Source organism: Homo sapiens, chromosome 13 (genome assembly GCF_000001405.40).
Source record: "Homo sapiens chromosome 13, GRCh38.p14 Primary Assembly".
Classification (NCBI taxonomy): domain Eukaryota; kingdom Metazoa; phylum Chordata; class Mammalia; order Primates; family Hominidae; genus Homo; species Homo sapiens.
Window position 1 is genome coordinate 50,520,365 of NC_000013.11, and position 17,683 is coordinate 50,538,047.

The 17,683-nt window shown below is 39.2% G+C and overlaps 2 long non-coding RNA genes across 2 annotated transcripts in view, besides 4 other annotated features; one reads left to right on the top strand and one right to left on the bottom strand.

The window, feature by feature from the left end:
• DLEU1 (deleted in lymphocytic leukemia 1) overlaps nt 1-8,279 on the top strand; it is a 446,475-nt gene extending 438,196 nt beyond the window's left edge. The window contains exons 6-7 of the long non-coding RNA NR_109974.1: nt 7,502-7,700; nt 7,816-8,279. This is a non-coding gene — a long non-coding RNA (deleted in lymphocytic leukemia 1). The remainder of the gene's footprint in view (nt 1-7,501; nt 7,701-7,815) is intronic.
• Nucleotides 569-7,085, bottom strand: DLEU1-AS1 (DLEU1 antisense RNA 1). The gene is made up of 3 exons (NR_125753.1): nt 6,915-7,085; nt 5,588-5,643; nt 569-1,072 (listed from the first exon to the last, which is right to left on the bottom strand). It is a non-coding gene; the product is annotated as a DLEU1 antisense RNA 1 (long non-coding RNA).
• Nucleotides 8,468-9,667: an enhancer, noted in NCBI's record as "MED14-independent group 3 enhancer chr13:51102968-51104167 (GRCh37/hg19 assembly coordinates)". NCBI's record gives its function as "activates an origin of replication core promoter dependent on BRD2, BRD4, P300/CBP and CDK7 cofactors, and independent of MED14, by STARR-seq in HCT116 cells {active_cell/tissue: HCT116}" and the evidence as "EXISTENCE:reporter gene assay evidence [ECO:0000049][PMID:35650434]".
• Nucleotides 8,468-9,985: a biological region, named in NCBI's record as "MED14-independent group 3 enhancer GRCh37_chr13:51102968-51104167".
• Nucleotides 8,608-9,296: an enhancer, noted in NCBI's record as "H3K27ac-H3K4me1 hESC enhancer chr13:51103108-51103796 (GRCh37/hg19 assembly coordinates)". NCBI's record gives its function as "activates a minimal SCP1, AML or CMV promoter by ChIP-STARR-seq in naive and primed H9 embryonic stem cells {active_cell/tissue: H9 hESC(naive and primed)}" and the evidence as "EXISTENCE:reporter gene assay evidence [ECO:0000049][PMID:30033119]".
• Nucleotides 9,297-9,985: an enhancer, noted in NCBI's record as "H3K27ac-H3K4me1 hESC enhancer chr13:51103797-51104485 (GRCh37/hg19 assembly coordinates)". NCBI's record gives its function as "activates a minimal SCP1, AML or CMV promoter by ChIP-STARR-seq in naive H9 embryonic stem cells {active_cell/tissue: H9 hESC(naive)}" and the evidence as "EXISTENCE:reporter gene assay evidence [ECO:0000049][PMID:30033119]".

Below are 17,683 nucleotides of genomic sequence, written 5' to 3' on the forward strand. Positions count from 1 at the left end.
TAGAACTTATTCATAATTTGTGTAGCAAAACAGCTGCATTTTGGAGCCTTGATAGTAGTATCACAGAGTTGGGCTGGAGGAGAGTCAAAGACAGGGACATATGTGTCACCTGGGCTGCTTTGGAGATCTCAGGACTGTGACAGGACAGTGACACCGGCCTGCAACCATAGACCACCAGTGTGCACTTATAACCTGGGCTCAGACAGATATGCTGACTCCCAAGATGGCTGTATCTTGAGTTAATGGCACATAATTCAGCCCCTCACTGAGGCTTTCCTGGAAATCTAACCATGGACTGTATGTGCACTCAGTCCTGGAACTCCCTGTCTGAAAGTGCAAAAATGCCTGTTCTGGTGTTTGTTCATTTGCAGTAGTTGCATGAGCCTCTGTCCTCAGGGTCTCTGTTTCCTTCTTCGTGTCCTGTGTCTCCATACTGCTTCTCTTCAAGTGCCATCTGTGAGACTCAGGGGGATCCTCCGACATTTACGGTCCTTAGCAGTAGGGTTTTCCCTAGTGGTAAATGGGAGAGAATCCTGAATTCTAGTCACCAGGAAGCAGAAGTACGGCTGAGAGACACTGAAACTCAAGGTCAAGTCTTGCAGGCAAGGAAGAGAATAGCAAGTTGAGCCCTGGCTGATTCAGAGTCCTTTATACTATTGAGATGTACACATTTTTTGGATTATATCACCTGAAAAAGCATGAGGTTTCCACTGTGACATTTATTTTCTTGGCCTTGAAACCCAGAATATTGAGAATGTGGCTGTTAACCAAAGCCTCCTGAACTGAAGGAGGTCTTTTCTTGTATAGTGTGTGAAAGCAGAGAGGAGCTGTTCATTGTAGCCTTTGAAGATCACCTCTTAATTTCCCCGTGTTCTTATTCTCTAACGATGTGCTTCACTCTTCTTTGGAGGGGAGCCTCCTCTGTGCTGTTTGAGATCAGTACTTCCTACTGCCTTTATGATGGCCTTAGAGAAGTTCTCCTGCCGGATCTAGATGGATCTCACATTATGAAAGGAGCAACAGAACCCTGTAGGAAGGCCAGGGCTCTATTTATTTACATTTGAGGTGGTGGCTGTGGAGGAGGAAGATTCAAAACACACAAAGTTATGTATGAATTATGATGTGATATGTTCAGCTTTTAGCTCTCTACTGGGCAGCACTTCAAAGTTTGTTTCAATGGATTTTCTTCAGGGGGCCACACCAGCATCCTCCAAATGGGAGTCTGAGGATGCCTCCCATCTTACATCACTCACAGATCACTGCCAGAGCAACAAGAAACAAAAACCCTAACAATTTACAGTTCACCCTCTTTGATGTAAGGTGCAGTGGGGACACGAAGCCCAGGCCTCTGAGTAGGATGTAGTTGGATTGGCACAGAAAGCAAACTCTTCTTTCTTTCCTCAAGAAGAAGGAAAACTACACTAGCAAATTAAAAATATTAGCAAGCTTCTACTCAGATACATTTAGCTTGATTTGGGTCAAGGTGGGGGAAGGGAAGAGTAAGGAATTCAAACAGCCTGTGCCAAGGATTTGCTGAACATGTTCTTTAAAAAAATGCTGACAGGCATTAAATTAAGTAACAACTGCAGATTACACAAGGGTAAACACTGCTGCTAATGTTTGACTAAAAGCTAACTGAGGGCTCTAAGTGATTCCAGTTAATTTATAGATCACGCCAGTAACAGCCCCAGGGGACTGGGGCTGCTGAAGGTGGGAGATTCGTTTTATAGCCAGAAGCCACGTTTTTAATTTTAGAAAAAGAAAACTAAAGCTGTAGGAACTGATTTAGAAACTTCAGAGGGAGAGAGAGAAAAAGAGAGGGAGAGAGGGGAGGGAGGAAAGACAGAAAGAGAGAGAGAGGTGTAGGGGGAATGAATTGAATGTCTTTGCTGGGCTTGGGATAGAAAAGTGGCTAAGAAAAAAACAGAAAGAAACACATCTAACTTTAAATAACTCTTCCAGGAGGAGAGAGCATGCTAGGATCAAGAGTTAACTATTCCTATGGGGTAGGGGTCTTAAATTCAAGACTGTGCCAGGGGCTCCATCGACCCCAAATGAAAGAGTATAAACTGCCTCGTGTTATCAAATAAGATTAATTTAATTTTGCAACATTTAGCTTCAAGTTAAAATTTAAATATATGGTTGTACAGTAAATGATTTTAAAATTATAGTCCCTCCAACATAACCTCTCTTGACACAATTTTAAATGCTTTTTAAATGGGATGTGTAGTTTGTTTAGTACATAGCAGTTGATGTCCTTAGATTGGGTTTTCATCATGTATTTTAATTTACTAAGGCTGGGATGACCATAATTGCCTAACAATTCAATGCAACGGAATGGGCTACTTCAGCACTTTTTACTGCATTTTTCCATATAATATCTAAAAGTCACCCTGCGACACACACAGGCTATGTTTATGAAAGCAAGGCTTTAACCCTTGCATTTTTCTAGGTTTGAATAATTTTCTTAATAAGGCAAAAAATGTTTGCAAATTTGCACCATGATGTCAGCACGTCATTGTGAAGGAGGTAGGACTGGCCTGCACTTCAGGGATGAAGTCCTGTCCATTTGGTGTTTGCAAACCTTGAGGATCCTCGTGGAAGCCCAGTAACTCCAAAGACCCTTGTTTCTTCCCAAGTTTCTGTCTCCTTTCAGGCAAGGGCAAACATATCTGCTTTGCTAGGCCAGTCTTTAGTTTAATCTTAGAGTCTCAAAAACAAACAGTGGTAAGGTCTGGATAACATAGTTATCCATTTCTGCGTTTGCCCAGATGAAACTTTAAAAATGCTAAAAATACCAGGGCAATTTCTGTTAATTGCTCTGGATTATCAGGCTGGAGAAATGGATTGGGCGGGTATATTCTAGTCTATTAAATCTTGTGCTAACTTTACTGATATCGTCTCTTGGACTCTGGCAGCCTATTCTGCTTTTCAGCATTCTCCAGGGATGCTCCCAGCGTGTTGGAAACCAAACTCCCTGTCTGCAGAGACAGCCCTAACACCAAAACTTTTGCTTTACTAGAGAAGCCAGAAGAGAAAAATAATGCTGTTGCATCCTCTCTGACTCAGTTGACTCACTTTATGACTTTTATTGTCGGATCCCAAACTTGATGGCTGACCTGACTGAGGTCACCAGCCCCATAGGGCTATTTTAAAACTTTGAAAATCACAAGGCATTTTCAGTTCTTGCCACTTATGAGTTTGTGCAACTATTCTGATGAGTGATCCTTGAAGATACATTGCCTCGAAATATGAAGGTGTGCCAAGCTCTAGCAAAACTGAAAAAAAAAGTGTCATTTCAGAATGACCAGAATCAGTAGACATTGTTTATTACCCTTATCCTCCACACCTGATGTTAAAAACAAAGACTAGGAGCACCCATGCCTGCCAGGTCAGTTTATTTGTGAACATTGAGGAATGTCTAAAGGGGATTAAGCTTTCATGTATGGAAATGCTTTCTAATTCAAATAACCCACTGTAATTTTTTTTAAAGTGACATGAATTGATGATTGTAGATACTGTCATACTGTATGACCAAATAACATGATTATAATGATGTGGCATTTCCTTTCCTTGTCTTTAACAAAACATATGGCTTTAGGTTACATTTGTCTGGCTTTTGGTTCTTCTACTTTAACTTGAAAGATGAAATTTATGCAATTTCTCAAGATCCCGAGTCACAAAGTTGGGTAATGGCAAATGGTATCCTAATAACAACAATAATAACTGGATTTTATTGTGTAGCTATTCAGTGACTGCTCTAAACAACAACCCTAGAGGGCAGGTACTATTGTTATTCCATTGCAAGTTTAGGAAGTGAGGCACAGAGAGATGTCAGGCATCCACAGTCACACAGCAGTTGATGCAGGAGCGCAGATTCAGCCACACTGCCTGTTTTTATCTAGTTTTGGGCTCTGCCAGCGAGAGGAAATGTCACCACTCTTCCTTTCCAGGATCAAACTGCATATGTACACTATATTAGCTCCACCGGACTCTGTAATCTAACTTATTTTGGCATGGTAGACCCTTCATGCTAGAGTGGAGGAAGAGGGACTGGATTTATTCTCCATCGTGCCTGAAGAATCCATCTCCTCCTACAATTTAGAACACACATTTTGTTTTTTAAGATTGGACTATTTTATTGGAAAACAGTGGTAGCTACACTTAGCTTACTATTAATACATGTCAGAAATTTTTCAAAGTACTTTCCATTTCTTTTTCATTTTATTCTCACACTATGAAGTAGACAGTATTATCATCTCCATGTTATAGATGGGTATACTGAAACACAGATGAGTCATGTCAGTTACTTAAAATTGTCTAGTCAAAGGGACACAGAGATGGGCTCACGTCCAGGTAGCCAGGTCCCATAGTCCATGCTCTTAATGCTACGCTATCTTTCCAATGAGTTGATAACTAGTCAGGTGATTTGAGGGTTAGCAATAAAATGATTTGGACTGAGTTCTATCACAGCTGATGGAATTGCAGAATTGGCCATTTTATCATTAACAAGAGCAGTGCTGCCCCCCCGTTTCTGCCATTGTCATCGCAGAACATTCCAGAAGAAAGGTCCTAGGAGGATCTACAGTGGCTTGTGTTGTTCTCCCAGCATCTCAGACTGTGATATCTAACTCTTACTTCTCTTTTCTATACCTTGGTTCTCCTGCCTCAGAATAATAAGCCCAATAACAATAGCCTCTTTTTATTTGTGGTGTTTTCCAGCGTACAAAGCGATTTCTCACACTAGGTGATGTGAACCTCACTATGGTTCTGTAGGGTGTATTCAGTCTTCATTGTATTGATAAGGAAACTGTAGTTCAGAAACACCCAAAGCCACAAAATTGGTCAAAACGGGCTGGACTTAAAACCTGGCTTTATAGCTGGACGCGGTGGCTCAAGCCTGTTATCCCAGCACTTTGAGAGGCCAAGGTGGGTGGATCATGAGGTCAGGAGATTGAGACCATCCTGGCTAACATGGTGAAACCCCGTCTCTACTAAAAATACAAAAAATTAGCTGGGCGTGGTGGCGGGCACCTGTAGTTCCGCCTACTTGGGAGGGTGAGGCAGGAGAATGGCGTGAACCCGGGAGGCGGAGCTTGCAGTGAGCCGAGATCGCGCCACTGCACTCCAGCCTGGGCCACAGAGCGAGGCTCCATCTCAAAAACAAAAACAAAAACAAACAAACAAAAAACAAAACAAAAAAAACCCCTGGCTTTATAATCTCCTATCCCCTATCCCTATTCCCAAATCCTCCTGCAGTGAGAAATAACCTCTTGTAGCAGCCATTTCAGTGGGAGTCAAAACACTTCACAAAACCCTCTCCTTGTTCCTTGGAACAAGTCTCTATGAAGTGGTCCAAGCAGCCACCAGAAGTGGCTGGAGAGCACCCACATATGCTGCCCACGCTGTATTTTATGCCTGAATTTATTTGCCATGTAGACATCTTACTGTAGTGGTTGAGGATATTGGAACTACTTAGATGAAAGAACACCTAAGCCCCTGGTGGGCTTCTGTTAAACTGTGTAGGTCCATAGCACAGATAGGGGAGCAATGACAGTACTCTGTGAAGAGGAGAAGGTGTGCTTACAATGAACGGGGCCTTGGCGTCCACCTCTTCCCGATGGAGAGAAGTGTTGCTTTTTCCTAGAGAAAAGAAATGAACAAGACCTGTTGATAGTGAATGAGTTGGGTCCCCATGCTCCCCTTTCTCTGCCATGCCCTTCAGGTGGGATGCTGGCACAGGGAGGATTAGATGTTTGACCTACTTACTCATTCCAACTTATAGCTCACAAGGATGGAGCTTAGCTGGAGGCTGAATGCTGGAACCCCATCAGAGCATTTCAGAATAGCCTAGGCCATTTCCACAGGTCTGAATCTGTGACCTAGGGGCAGGCTCTTAGAACAACATATTCTCATATAATGTGACTGGCTGGCTGTAAGGTGTCCCTAAGAAAAGCTAACATCCTCTGCTCTAATCAGGCAGAAAGGAGTGAGAGGAGGAAGAGAGAGGAACCTGGAGAAAAAAAATGCAATAAAGGCCTGTAAAAGGAAAACTCACAAAGCCCTTCTCTGAAGAGCTTTTAAGATGGAGTTTACCAGCAAGGTACTAGCAGACACATACGAGCAGGTTAACATCCCTAAAATAAAGCAGGAGCCAGCAATAACAGGGTCGGGCAACAGAAAGCTACAGCTGGTAAGGAAGTCAGCAGCACCACACCATTAGATACAGCAATTACTTTAGATACAGGGTGGGGTCCCAGCTCTGCAGCACACACTCTCAGGCTGGAGAAACAGGCTGTGCTTCTGGGAAAGCATTCTCCATCCTGGGGTACAGATCCCTGGAGTCTTAAGAAGGCGTTGCAGAAAAATTAAGCATTATCTCGTCTGAGTCCCCTAGGCTGGGTTAGAAGTTGCTTGCCTGATTATTGCGTGCAGCTGGAATGGTCTTGGTACAGGGAGGGATCTGGGCTGAGGAGGATGGGCTGAGAGGGGAGAGGGGAGAGGGAAGAGGGGAGAAGGGGACCCGCACACATGCGCACTGTAGCAGAAGCTGCAACTTTGCCGGTTGCAGGGCTGTTGTGAGATAGGGTGCTTGCTACTGTGACTGGGGCCCCGCCTTGCAGATCTGCTTGTCATCACTTACCCTCTCTTGGTGGTTTGGGCATGCACTTCTTTGGGGGAACAAACAAAATTTTAAAAGTTCCTGAGTTTGACAGCAGCAGCCAATCACTTTCCTCCCTATTACCCTCCTCTCTTTTTTCTAAAGTAGTCAAATGCCAGCTTCTATTTCACTAGTTTCTATTTCTGTGAAAAACATTTCAGAACTGCTTTCCTCATCCTTCCCACTAAAAATCAAGCATCCCCCCCCCTCCCCGCCCTCCTGTTCTGTGCAGGAAGGGTTGGCCCACACTCACCTGATGTGTTCCCTCCTCAGTCGTGGCCAGCACCAGGTGGTTGCTGCCATCAGATGATGTTCTGCCCTGGCAAGCACATGTTTTTAAATGACTCTGCAGTACCCAGGCTTATAAAAACAAATGCACCCAGACGAAGTTCCAGCGCCCCGCGGGGATACACTGAAATTCTCTGGCCTTGCTGAGCTGGGCTTTGGCTTCGAGTCTCCTCTCAGGCAGACCTGGATACGTCTTCATTCATGTGCCTATTTTAGTCATTGCAAAATGCTTTATAATAATTCCAGACGTGAAATGTGCACAGGAGGACTCTAGTTTGGAGCACAGGCTTTGGGGTCAGAACCTCGGCTTGAATTTTGATGCAATGTATCTGTATAGGTAAGACTTTTTCACCTCTGTGCCACAGTTTTCCCATCTACAGCAGCAACACCTGTCTGTGTAGGGTTCTTGTCAGAATTGAATGAGATAAATGTGATGTATTTAGCACAGTTCCTGGTACATAGACAAACATTAGTTCAATAAAGTTTTTCTAGTATTATCATTTCCTTGTTTTTTCCAAAAAGTAGTTAATCTGAGCACACATCTGTTTATAGGAGGAGGTCTGATGGCCGGGAGGACAGGAAGAAGGAACCCACAATGAAGCAAAAGTTGCGTTTAACTCTGTCCTCACCATTCCTCTCCTGGACCTGTCCTAAACTGGAAGCTGGGGGAGGATGGAGTGCTGGAATGCTGCAGAAGTCTCATGGGAGGGCGCCTGGTGTTCACCACATGTGTACACTGTTGCACGACCAGGTTGGCACTTTGCATGTGGGAAACGATCAGAGAATGGTGGGGGATGCTTAAGAGGCATCACTGGAATCCTACGGTACCACAGACCAGAGCCTTCCCTTCCCTTCCTCTCCCACAGATGGAAATTTGAATGCTGGGGCTCAGTGGAACACCTGAAGGAAGCTGGTGAGGCAGATGTCCCGCTATGCCTTCCAAGTGTCATGCAACCAGTTCATGCCTGTCAGCATCTCTGCCGGTGGACTCTGTGAGTCAGCAAATCTACAGAGCAGAGAGCCACAAGTGGGGACAGATGTGGTCAAATGCCATTTAAATCAGTGATTCTCAACCCAGGAGTTGTCATGGCACTGGCCTTGAGTGAGCTGGACCAAGGGAAGTGGTAGAATTCCCCATGAAGGACCAAGTGAGCAGATAGAAGTTTCTCCATTTTAACTTTTTCTGAGTCAATTTAAAAAACACCTAGTGCCTTTTTCTGTACATAGTGCCTGTGGGTTTGAATTTAAGCCTACCCAAATGTGCTTTTATCCCACCTATTTTGAACCTTGCATGTCTCCGGGATAAGAATTAACATAAGCTATAAATATTCTTCCAGGACTAATTATTAACCGTGAATGTTGAGCGGCCTTGACAAATATAAAATGTTATATATAGGCCCAAGAGTAGATCAGAGAGTTATCTATCTACTTCAAGTTGAGACTCAGAGTTTTCATTAAACTCTGCAGTCTCACAGTATTTCCAATCATTTCAGGGCAGACGAAAGTTCCGTGGTATATCTTTTTAATGTGGCAGGCCTCGAGGGTGGATTGAGTTAGGCAATTTATCCCCTTTTATGCCCTATATTCACATGCAACACTCCAATGGGGTAACATAAAACCACAGACAGGTTTCTTTACACCGGTATTTAAGGGAACTAGGAAAGCAGCCCAAATCATGTGGAGAAAGCTGGGGAAAGAAGTATCAGAGGAGAAAGAGGACCTTAGCAGAAATGACAAAAGTGAAAAACCTTCCTAACTCCTTCAGACATGATGCTTAAAATTGTGTTTCTTTGGCAACTTATAATTTTCTGAAGCTGGTTCTCAGCCTCAGATCCTCCCCCAAGGTTTTTATGTTGTATTTTGACTCAGTAGGAGGGATCCAGTCCCAGACCTTCCGGCTCTCACCAGTACACCACAGGCTAACGCCATCCAGCAATCAGATGACAGGAGGAGGAGAGGTTCAAAGAGGACTACTGTATTTCTCAGAAGGGGCTGGCTCATCTACCCTCCACTGTATTACTCACACTGTAGATGCAGAAAACATGTCAAAGTATACTGGGGCTCTGCAATGCATGCACCCACACACATGTACACATACGCACAGACTTCCAAACTAAAAAGGAGAACAGAGCTCAAAAGGGGACAGTGTGCAACTGGTGCTCCATGTTGTAAGGACCTCCCCTCCTGCGGGCGCGGCTACCCCAGCAGGCTTGTCCGGGCATGTCCGCCCAGTTGACGCCAGGCCAAGTTTTACGGGAGGAATTGGCCTGTGTCTAAAGCTGGAGTTCAGCTTTGCTGACTATGGAGACTGATCTGTTGGTTGTCAGCAAAGAAAAGGTGGTTTCAAAAGAGCAGCAGAGGACTCTGTGCTAGTTGCTACTGGCCAGCTTTGACTCCGATTGGAAGCTTGAAAAACATAGATTGGAAGCTATGCAGAATATCCAGTGACAGAAATAAATCAGAGATTGCCAGGGGCTGAGGGTGAGAGGAAGGAGATTGACTTCAAAGGGGCACAGATAATTTCTCAGGGTGTCGGAAATATTCTGTCTTGATTGAGGTGGTGATTACTCGACTGTATATGCTTGTAAAAATTTGTAGAACTGTGTGCCTGAAAAGGGTGAATTCTACTGTATGTAAATTATAACTCGATAAACCTGATTTTTAAAAACACTGTAGTTTGGGAGGCCATATAAAACCAAATAACATTTTGAGTCATTAATGCCTCTTTAAGAATATTTTGGATTGATTTTTTTTATTAGATTAAAAAAATTCTTCATGGTAAATATTAATTAACCCTTTAAGAGCCAAGTGGAGGAGTGGAATCTGTATGTTTTAGAGTTGTTTGTTCTTTTTAGTTGGTCACTTTACACACTTAATTTTCAATTTTATTTAGAAAAAGAAGTTATGCTTATGAAGCATAAAAGCTGTAATTCCAAAAGTTGAATTGGTTTTGAGACCCCAAAGTCATGACTATGTAGAGAATTTCTAAATTCTTAAGGATAACCTATTTAGGAAAACCTAAGAAATCAACTATTACAACTAATGCTTCATTATGATACCTGGTTACAAAATATAAAAAATATCCATAATCAGATAATAATCGTAAAGAGGGAAAAGAGCTCTTTTACAACAGGGGAAAAACAAAGCAAAACAAGCAAGAATAAGAACAATAAAACCTGGAAACAAACTTGTTTGTTTATATAGGGCTTCTATCAATTTAGTTGTAAAACTTTAGTTAATATGAAATCAGGCTTGAATAAATTGAGACATATTTTATATTATTGGATGATGTCACTGTTCCTCAAATTGATGGTTAGGTCCAATATGATTCTAATCAAAATCCCAATTGGAATATTTTTGAATGAAAATGTGACTGTAAGGTTTATCTAGAATAATTTGTGGATAAAAATAACCAAGAAAGATTTATAAACAAATAAGGTAAACTGTACTTCAGGTGTTAAAAACCTGTTATAAAGCTTTAATAACATGATATTGGTATACAACTAGACAGAGAGAAGAGAATAGAGTCCCCAAACACACTCAAATACATATAAGAATTTAGTATTTGATGAAGACACTTCAAATTAGGGAAGGAAATGAAAGATTATGCCAGTGAATAGTGCTGGGGAAATTAATTCAGTTTTTAAGGGAAGGAGGAGACCCAAATCATATCCCTAAATAAATTCTGGATGAATTAAATAAATTTTAAAATATGAAAACACAAATGAGTAAAAGAAATTATGATAAGTATCTATCAACTCTCAATGTATGGAAGCACTTTTTAAACAAAAAGGTAGAGGAAGAATCTATAAAAGAGAAAACAGAATGTTTTTACATAAAAATTATAAACATATACATCAAAACTCATGATAAAGAAACATAAGGCAAAGAATAACTTGAAAAAAGGGCAAAATAGAAGACAAAGGTTAACATGGTTAATATGTGAAGAGCTTCCGAAGTCAATGATTAGAAGATAAATATCCTAAGCAGAAAAATTTTCAATATTCACAAAAAAGGAATTTGTACGAGCAGAAAAAAATTAGACAATAAATCATGAAAAAATTTCAGGCTCACTATTTATTTAAAAATAATTTTAAAAGACACAAATTTCTGTCCATTAAATTAGCAAATATTTTAAATTTCAAAAAACTTTGATAATTACATAGTTGGGTAAAAGTTCAAGATAAAGGAAAATCTCATCCACTGCTGGTGGAAGTATAACAATCTTTTAAATTTTCTGGTTAGAAATGTTGGCAATATGTATGTATTCAAAGACTTAAAGCTGTAAACAATATTTGACCTAATAATTCCTTCTTAAGGAATCTATCCTTACTTCGGATATATTTTTAGGAAATACAAGGATTTAGGTATAAGGATGTTTATTGCAGGGTTACTTGTGACTGAAAAATTCTAAAAATAGGTTTAATTACTGACAGCTCATCTGTAGGCATGGCAAACCACATTCTCAGGAATATTTAAGGCTTTAGAAAAAATATAAAAGGTAACATGAAGTGAAAAATGTAACGGCAAAGTTGCATGTACAGGAGAGCTGTGGGTGGGCTTGGCTATATATGTACGTACATGCATATATGTACACATACAGAAAAAAGACTGGAAGGATTTGTGTCGATGAAATGTTAATAGTGGTTCTTAGGATGGTGGAATGATTAGTGGGTTTTTATTACCTTTATGTGGCACTTTTTCAAATTTTCTGTAAAAAGGCTGTATTAACTTTATGATCAGAAGTATAAACATTAGTTTTGTAATTTTCTTTGCTATCAAGGGCTCCCTCTGCTGCTCACCTAAAAAATTATGAAGAGTTGGCTTCCTACTTCTCATTCCTGATTTTCCTCATCTCCTAATAGCCTCTGTTCTTATCTTGTGACCACTTTCCACTTATTTACCTTAGAAGCAGACTCGTCTAATTTGAGTATTTGGAATGATATGTCAAGTTCTAGACTTTGTTTTTAATTGAGATATAACTGACATACACTAGTCGTCCGTTTAAAGGGTACAATTCAGTGGCTTTTAAGTATATTCACAGAGTTGTGCAAATGTCACCATGATCTAATACCAGAATATTTCTGTCACCCCCAAAAGAAAACCTATGCTCATTATCAGTAACCCTTGATTACTTCTTTCCGCCATCCCTGGTAACCACTAAACTACTCTTAGTATTTATGGTGTTGGGTCTAAGAAAATGATACCCCACACAATGGTGCTTTGGCATACTGAACACTTTGAATTAAATGAAGATGGAGTACCTTAGAAGCTGTCTCAGAACCCAAAACATTTTAACCCTCTTTTGTTTCTTCTCCCCTGACTCCAAGAGCAAGGAGGGACTCTGTCTGGAATTTCCTTATCTAACTAAGGAAACTTCTCAAAAGACATGCAATTGTCTGAAGACTCACTCTCCAGGAATCTCATGAAATAATCCAGAAAGATTACCCACCTGAGAGAAGAAAAGACTATAAAAGTCATCACTACATGCAGTTAGACTTTTCATCTATTCTTTTGAGGGCAGGTTGGAGAGATTACCTAGGAGACTTTTTCTACATACTAAGACAACCTTTGTTCACAAGGCAGTTCCACCCCTCTCCTTCCCTTAACTTGCCAGTCCCATTCAGTTTCCTAAGATAATTATTTACAAAATAATATTTGCCTCCTGGGTGCATTCATTTCCTCTGAAAATCACTTACTACCCTTCTAAAATTTGTTACAGCTCCCAAGTTTTCTCTCCCCTATGAGGAGGACATTTAAACCTTAACCATATGGCCCTTTTTTGAGTCTCATGTTTTGTATGGCTCCCATGATTATGCATATTAATTAATGTGTAAACTTTTTCTCATGTTAATCTGTCTATTGTCACTTTATTTCAGTGAACCTTCAGAAAGGGCAGAAAGGAAGTTTACTTCTGCCTCTACAATGGATTTGCCTACTTTAGACATGTTTTCAAGATTTATCCACGTCATGGCATATACCAGAACTTCATTTCTTTTATGATTGAATAATATTACATGGTTTTAATATACTATATTTTGTTTATCTGTTCATCAATTAATAAATCTTTGGGTTGTTTTCACTTTTAGGCTATAATAATTAACGCTGTTAGGAATATTTACTTGTAAGTTTTTGTTATATGTTTTTAATTCTCCTGGGTAGATACTTAGGGATAAAATTGCTGAATTAGATTGTAACTTTATGTTTAGAAACTGCCCAACTGTTTTCCAAAGTAACTATCATTTTAATATTTCACCAGCATTGTATGACAGTTCTGGTCTTTCCTTATTTAAACTAATACTTAATTGTTGCCTTTTATTGTAGCTATCCTAGTAGATATGAAGTGTTATCTCATTATGGTTTTGATTTGCATTCTCTAATGACTAATAATATCAAGCATCTTTTCATGTGTATACAAGATATTTGTATATCTTCTTTAGAGAAATGTCTACTCAAATCCTGTGCCTATGTTTTAATTGGATAATTTATGTTTTTATTGTTGAGTTGTAATAGTTTTTAAATATATTCTGGATCCTAGACCTTTAACAGTACATGATTTGTAAATATTTTCTCCCATTCTGTGGGTTGGCTTTTCACTTCTTTATATTATCTTTTGAAGTACAAGTTTTTTATTTTGATAAAGTCCAGTTTATCTATTTTTTTCTTTTTTTGCTTGTCTTTTGGTGTCGTATCTAACAAACCATTGCCTAAATCTGAGGTCACAAATTTTACAGCTGTGATTTCTTCTAAGAGTTTTATGCTTTTAGCTTTCACATTTAGGTCTTTGATACATTCTGTGTTAGTTTTTGTATAGGGTAAGAGATAGGAATCCAATTTCATTCTTTTATATGTGTATATGTGTATCTCCCATTTTTGCAGCACCATTTGTTTAAAAGACTATTGTTTCCTCCTTTGAACTGTTCGGACATTCTTGTCAAAAATCAGTTGACCATAAATGTATGAGTTTATTTTCAGACTCTCAATCCTATTCCATTGATAAATATGACTATCCTATGCCACTACTGTACAATCTTTATTGCTGTAGCTTTGTGCTGTAGATATCAAAATCAGTAAGTGTTAGTTCTTTAACTTTGGGTTTTTTTTTTCAGATTATTTTTGTTATTCTGGACCCCTTGCATTTCCACATGAGGTTCAGTATTAGCTTATACATTTATACAAAAAAGGCAGCTGGAATTTTGATGGAGACAGTGCAAAAACTCTAGACGAATTCAAGGAGTTTGTTATCTTAACAATATTAAGTGTTCCAATCCGTGAACCCAAGATGTATTTCCAGTTATTTAAGTCTTCTTTAGTTTCTTTCAATAACATTTTATAGTTTTTAGTATGCTAGTCTTGGAATTATTTTGTTAAATTTATTCCTAATTATTTTATTCTTAAAGCTGTTATAAATGAAATTATTTTAATTTTATTTACTGGTTGTTCATTGCTGGTGTATGAAAATACAATTGAGTATTCTGTATTTCTCCTGTATCCTTTAACCTTGCTAAACTGGCTTATTAGACTTTCGTGAATTCCTTAAAATTTTCTATATAATGTCATTGGCAAAGAGATAGATTTACTTCTTCCTTTTCAATTTGGCTGCCTTTATTTATTTTTCTTCACTAATTGCTCTGGCTAGAGACTCCAATACAGTGTTGAATAGGAGAGGCTAGAAAGAACATTCATTTCCTGGTCTTAGTGGGAAAGATTCCAGGATTTCGGCATTAAGCATGATATTAGCTGTGCATTTTACTCTGATGTTGTTTACCAAGTAGAGGAAGTTCCCTTTCATCCCATTTATTGAGTGTTTCATCATGAAATCATTTTTATTATAGATTCAGACAAATTATTTTTCTGCATCTTTTGAGATGATTCTGTAATTTTAGTCTTTCTTTATTAACATGGTATATGACATAGAAAAATTTTGGTATATCAAACCAACCTTGCATTCCATTGATAAATTCCATTTGATCATTTGGTACAATTCTTTTTAAAATGTTGCACACTGAATTAAGTGTTCTAGTATTTTTTGAGGTTTTTTTTGGCATTTATATTTATAAGGGATATTGTTCTGGAAGTATCCTTACTTGGGATATTTTTGTCTGGGTCTGATATCAGAGCAACACTGATCTTATAGAATAAGATGGGAAATAGTCCCACCTCTTCTATTTTTGAAAGAGTTTGCAAAAGATTGCACTTACTTGTTTTTGAAACATTTGGTAGAATTTGCCAGTGAGTACATCTGGTCATAGGCTTTTCTTTGTGGGAAGTTTTTTGATTATGAATTCAATTTCTGTATTTGTTATAGGTTTATTTAGAGTCTGGCAGTTTGTTTATAATGTGCCTCAAAGAGAATTTTTTGGGGGTTGAATCTAATTAGGGACCTTTGAGTTTCCTGAATCTGGGTGTTTATATCTCTCCTAAGACTTGGGAAGTTTTCAGCTATTATTTAATTAAATAGGTTTTCTGTGCCTATCTTCATCTCTTCTCCCTCTGGCATTGTTACAATATGAATATTTGTTGGCTTAATGATGTCCTGTAGGTCCCATAGGATTTCTTCATTCTTTTTATTCTTATTTGTCTTACCTCTGAGTTATTTCAAAAGAACTATCTTAAAGTTCAGAAATTCTTTATTCTGTTTGATTTAGTCTGTTGTTGAAACTCTCAATTGTATTTTTATTTCATTCAAGGCACTCATCAGTGTCAAGATTTTCGTTTGGTTCTTCTCATGATATCAATCTCTGTTGTTTTCCTAATTTCATTGAATTGTATTGAATATTGGCTGTATTCTCTTGTATCTCACTGAGTTTCTTAAGATCATTATTTTAAATTCCCTTTCTGGAATTTTGTTCTTTTCTTTGGATTCTGTTACTGGAGAATTATTTTGCTCCTTTAGACGTGTCGTGTTTCCTTACTTTTTCTGTGTGTGTGTGTGTGTGTGTGTGTGTGTGTGTGTGTGTGTTCCTTTGTTGATATCTGTGCATACCAGTGGAACAGTCATCTTTTCAAATTTGGTGGAGTAGTTTTCAGAGGGAGAGACTGTTTCCTGCACATGAGTCATAGGATGTTGTTTAAGTGTGGTGTGTTGGCTTTGGTTTTAGATGGACTCAGTAGCATGGTCTCTGCATTTTATTCAGCTGCAATCCTCATTTATAGTGTCTGCAATTGTTTCAGTGGCCTAGGCTGTTGGTTTGTGATGGCAGTGATATGGTTTTGCTGGGCGAGGTGGGGTGGGGGTAGGGGTTGCTGGGCTGGCTGGCAGGCCAAGTGTGTAGGTATATCAGACTGTCCAGCTGTGTGTCATCTTCCATATTGTGCAAGTCCACCTATTCCCTTGTGGGTGGGGTGCTCTATGTGTTTGAACACCAAAATCTTAGCCATTCCACACAGCAATAGGCTCCAAGCAGCTAGGATAGTGGTGATGCAGCCACTCAAGCGAGCATACTGGAATGATGGCATGACTTCAGGGATACAGAAAAATAGTGGCTACTGGATCCCAGGGCAGGACTCACTCTAGTAGTGGGTCCAGTTTCGAGATGGCACTGTGTCATACAGCTTTGGTGTGGGGAGTGGGGTGTGTGTGTGTGCACAAAATGGGCTCCTGTTTTGAGGCAATGCAGTTACATGAACTCTAGGCAACTCTCCTAACTGGTTTAGGACATGTGAGGACTATCTACCTCTCCTGTAGCAAAGAACACAGGCATCTGCAGCAGTAACGAGGACTGCTGGGCAGTTGTAGCTTACCCTCTCCCCATAAGAAGTTCATCCTGGCTTTGAGCTGATCTCAACAGGGAAAACAGTATGGCTGAAATAGGGTTCTTCACTCTCTTGTCTATGGTGCTATCCTGGGTTTCTGTGTTCCACAAGGATTTTGCAATTTTCCTGGTGCTCTCCAGTGTACTTCCTCATTCATGCTAGTGAAAATACAGTTGTTTATTCATTGTTTTGGTCCCTTTTTGCTGGGGAAGATGAATACCAGGCAAGTCTAGACAGCTATCTTGCTGACATGCCAGTCCACAAGTTTTTTCAGTTGTCTTAATTTGTAACAATCTTGTTCAGATTAAAATAAACTTAATTTCAATAGTATATAAAAATTTTGCATTTGTATAGCTCTATTTCCTTCTGCCTCCTTTGTGCTATTATTTACTAAATTTACTTTAGTCTGAAGGATTATCTTTAGTATTTCTTGTAGAGCAGTCTGCTAGTGATATATCCTTTCAGTTGTTTATTAGAAATATCTTAACTTCATTTTCCTTAGTTTTTTTACTATATTTAAAATTTCAGCAGCAAAATTTTGTGCTGTTACTGTAATACAAATTAGATTTATATAACATATACTCACAACACAAATTCATAATTATTGCTTTAAGAGGGTTTGAAATAATAAGTTAGAAAAATCAGAGTTACAAATAAAAAAATACATTTATACTGTCTTGTATATGTAGTTACTTTTTCTAATGCTCTTTATTTTCTTTATTTGAATTTGAGTCACTGTCTAGTGTTCTTTGACTTTAGTGTGAAGGACTATCTTTAGTATTTATTTTATTTTATTTTTTTTTGAGATGGAGTTTCACTCTTGTCACCCAGGCTGGAGTGCAATGGTGTGATCTCAGCTCACTACAACCTCTGCCTCCAGGGTTGAAGCGATTCTCCTGCCTCAGCTTCCTCAGTAGCTAGAATTACAGGCATGTGCCACCATGCCTGGCTAATTTTTGTATTTTTAGTAGGATGGGG